This window comes from Homo sapiens, chromosome 7, assembly GCF_000001405.40.
Source record: "Homo sapiens chromosome 7, GRCh38.p14 Primary Assembly".
NCBI classification, from domain to species: domain Eukaryota; kingdom Metazoa; phylum Chordata; class Mammalia; order Primates; family Hominidae; genus Homo; species Homo sapiens.
The window spans coordinates 79,690,785-79,695,470 of NC_000007.14; positions in this window are offsets into that span (position 1 = coordinate 79,690,785).

The window sequence follows — 4,686 nt, forward strand, 5'->3', positions numbered from 1 at the left end:
AGATTATTTCTTCAGATATTTTACATTGGTGATAACAGTAATAATAATAATAATCATAACAGTGATGTTTACTATTTTTGTTGAGTGTAATCTGCAGAGGACAGCATGATATTATACTCTTTTCCAAGAATTATCTCCTTTAATCACCATAGCAGTAGGAGATAGGTACTGTTTTCTCTATTCTACAAATAGAAAATGAAACACACACAGCTTGAGTGAATTTCCCCATGCTACCCAGCCAGAAAGTAGCACAGGTAGACCTTGAATCCTGAATCTGGATTCAGACAATGGACTGCAACTGGAGTATACTGAATGACAGTACTGTCATTTGTTTTTCAGGTTACACTGCCATATTTTCAAAGAATTGCTAATGTGTTTTAGATAATTTTTAAAGTGCAAAATACAAAATATGTCACATTTGCTGGCTAAGTGGACTGTCAGTCATAGGTGGACTTTGCAAGTACTGATAAGGAATGAGATTGCAGAGGCAATAAATGCAAATCCCAGGGACATCACACAAGATACAGTATGCAGTTGCATTTCCTTCTGCTTCTGTTTAAAAATTATTTTATGGTACCAAATACTGCAGGGATAACGAAGTCAAGATATGAAGACTGGCTGACTTCCTGGCAGATGTATCCTAAAGAAAAATTGAAACTGAGATGACAGTTGATGAAATATGCAACGTGTGATATATCGGTCTTACTCTAAATTCTAGAATTACTTTTTCCATTTATTTTGTCAGCATTCAGAGCTCTCAACAAACTCAAAACTTAACCTAGGACACTTAAAAAATAACAGAGTTGAAATATAAGAGTACACACACATGCTATCATGGGAACATCACAGCAAAGTTGCTGCTTAGACATTAGAAGTAGAACACCACACCAAAAAGGCCGAAGCTGGTAGTGAGATAACAGCTTAGAGGCTTCTCTCTTATTTACCAGACTGGGCTCCCAGCTTCTCCCTCCATTTCCTTTAAATGAACTGATATGGTTTGGCTGTGTCCCCACTCAAATCTCACCTTGAACTGTAATAATTCCATGTGTCAAGGGCAGGTGGAGATAACTGAATCATGGAGGTGGTTTCCTCCATACTGTTCTCATGATAGTGAATAAGTCTCAAGAGAGCTAATGGTTTTATAAATGCATTTTCCCCTGCACAAGCTCTCTTGCCTGCCACCATGTAACATATGACTTTGCTCCTCATTCACCTTCCACCATGATTGTGAGACCTCCCTAGCCGCGTGGAACTGTGAGTCAATTAAACCTCTTTCCTTTATAAATTACCCAGTCTCAGGTATATCCTTATTAGCAGTGTGAGAGCCATGACTAATACATGGACCACTGAGGCATTTGCCTGGGAGCTTAAAGTGACTCACAGCCTATTCTCTTACATATACTACTAGTTGCCACACTTGTACTCTCTCTGTCTCGTTTTCTCTCTCTCTCTCTCTCTCTCTCTCTCTCTGCCTGACTCTTCATTCTTGCCTCATGTGACTCAGGGACAGTGGGCTGCCCTCCCAGCTCATTGCACCCTGCCCAGAATCTGTAAGTAAAAATCTTTGAGCCTATTTCCTATTGTGGTGCTATATAACCAGTTTGTGTCTTCCCCCTGAAGAATCTAAGGCCAAGTTTTCCCCAGAATGCCAAAGAGAACACAAGGTTCAGGGACAAGGCAATGGTTATGGCATAAAGTGGGCATAGGTTAGACAAGAGCCACAAGACAATACAGTTGTCTTCCAATATAAACTATTTTCCTGTTGAGAGCCACCTTGTCATGGGTCAGACAATTAGGTATCAGTCTGCCCAGCAGGTAACAGAAGTATCCTGGGGAAGGCACATTGTATCCACCTATGTCCCACTCTTCTTGCTAGCCACTCCGGTGCTGGAACTCCAGTTTAGCTGGGGGCTCTTGAAACACACTATCACTACATTTCTCAGGTACAGTAGCTAAAACGTAGCGAATTGGGGCTGTGTTTCTATTTTTTCATCTACTTTCTCTTCTTCTACATCTTTTTATCTTTTTTCAGTTGTACTGTTCTATTTTTCTTCATCCCTTTTTTTACCTTCTTTTCTTTTGCTGCTAGACCATAGATTGCAGATACTGAGAACTAAATTTTGATGCAACTGAGAGACATACAGGAGCAGCTGAAATAGTTCTAGCTAGAGTTTAAATCAGAAAGAAAGAAGGTGTCTTAATAGTTTTGAAGGATCCTTTGTGGTTCTTTGAACTTGGGAAAGACCTATCAAGTTAACAGAATACAGGAAGAAAGGAGTATCAGAATTTTAAACTTGAATATCCCATTTATAATAGCCATGTATCTTTCTCATTGACTGTTTCCTCATCTGCAATTAATACTCCATAGCAATGTCATAATTACTAAATTGAGTGAGGTGTATCAGTTCTCTGATTCAGTTCATGCTTCTTTAAAAACAAATCATATTTCCCCTTGCCTTACCATTAAAACAAATCCAGAAGTTAGCAAGTTGGGAGGTTTAAATTTAAGTAGGTCTAATCATCTGTAATTGTTGTTATGAGAAGAAAATGTATGTTTCTTTTCTCTTAAAAAGTCACCTATACATATTTTAATAATTAGGACAATACATCCCTCAATTGATTTTGGTTATTTTTGTTTTGTAAGGAAGAGTCTTTCCAAAGGAGTTTCAAAATCTAGTTTCATTGCAGAATGGGGCAATTTTCACAACTTGTTGGATCCCACGCAATGTTGTAGCTTGGGTTATATTAATCTTTCCTTACCAGCAGGGATTTTCCCACCAGAACAGTGCGTGGTTTCTTTCCCACTATAAGGACTGGTTGATTATTGTTTTAGCTGCAACCAGAGCTGGAAATTTGGGCAGCAAAGTGTTTTATACACTTAGCCTGTCCCAATCAAGCAAGTGTGGTTAATTAGTTATTTCTCTATATCTGAAATATCTTCTATTAAGCTAAAGTAGTCCTAAATATTCTACAAACATGACTTAACATGTCTTGCATATTGCTTTTCAGACTTAGTAACCAGCAGATACATAAAAATTAAAACCTTTTGAATAACTCTAGGCATACAGTATTACAATAAATCATCCAATAGCTATTGAGGAACATCATATTGTTATGTTAGAGTTTACATATTGATATGGTTTTCCTCTGTGTCCCTACCCAAATCTCATCTGGAATTGTAAACCCCATAATACCCATGTTTTGAGGAAGGGACTTGGTGGAAGGTGATTGGATCATGGGGACAGTTTCCCCCATGCTGTTCTTGTGGTAGTGAGTGAGTTATCACAAAATCTGATGGCTTTATAAGTGTTTGACAGTTCCTCCTTCAGACTATCTCTCTCGCCTTCCACCTGGAAGGCCATGCCTGCTTCCCCTTCTGCCATGATTGTAAGTTTCCTGAGGCCTCTCCAGCCATGAAGAACTGTGAATCAATTAAACCTCTTTTTAAAATAAATTACCCAGTCCCAGTCAGTTCTTTATAGCAGTGTGAGAACAAACTGATACACATATCAACTTTAAATAATCATTCGGCTCATCTCTATAAGCTACAGTTCCATCTGCCAATGTTTGTTGCTATCTACTTATTTTAATTTATAGTTTTAATGGGATGAAATTAAAAAGTAGAATATTATGCAGACATTAAAATGGTTGTAATGGCCAGTAAGTAATGGCATGGAAAAAATCTTTGATTTAAAGTGGTAATGTAGAAAGAATACATTTTTATAAACGTACAGCATTTACTATGAAAGATGTATACACAGGTAAAAACCAAGAGAGAATTTTAAAATGCTAATATAAGTTTTTAATGCATGGCAATTTAATCTGTTGGTACCTTTCAAAATATATTTAGCATTTTCTTTAATGTGCTTTCTTTGCTTCAAAAATAAATATATTAAATTTGAGGAATTTCTTACATTTCTGTGTATTTGATCTGAAAATAGTGAATTTTGCTTGTAAACCTGTCTATAAATTAAGAGGGCATAGGCTTTGAATGACAGCCCAGAGGATTTCCATTGAGCTGGGTGCATGGATTTAAGGTAATATATTTTGAGTCCAGTATTTTTGTTGTCAGAACTTTTTAAACTTCTATTTGTTTACCAAGCGGGAGTCTGGATAACTGAGCTTTTAGGCAAATTGCATTCAATTTCTATTCTTAGATGTTTCTTGACATGATGATTAGAATAACAGCAATATAAAAATAAGACACATTAGGAAGTAATGACACAAATTCACTTGGGCTTATTAGGAGGGTCTCTCCGTAGAAGATTTTCCATGTATGTTTCCACATAAAGTCACATCTGAGGCACTGTGGATCAGGATTTCAACATATCTTCTTTGGGGACACAATTCAATCGATAATACTTTAGAAAGTAAAAGACGTAGTAAGAGGAAATTTTAAAAACACTTATATTTTGTTTACTGCAAAATAGAGATGAACCAAAAGTGAAGTGAGAGTTTGAGCATGTATGGTTTAGATTACAGCAGACAACACTCCCACCACCCTCATAAAGAAGTGCCTTCCCGTGCTAATAATATTATGATGGAGGAAGGGGGGAAACTACGTTCAAGGAAAAATGACACATTGTAGGAAGATCTGAGATGAGTGTAAAATGGTTTAGGTCATAGGCCAAGAAGGAAGACAGGAGGGGAAGAACTTTGTATGCCCCAAAGTATTAGACAGCCTGT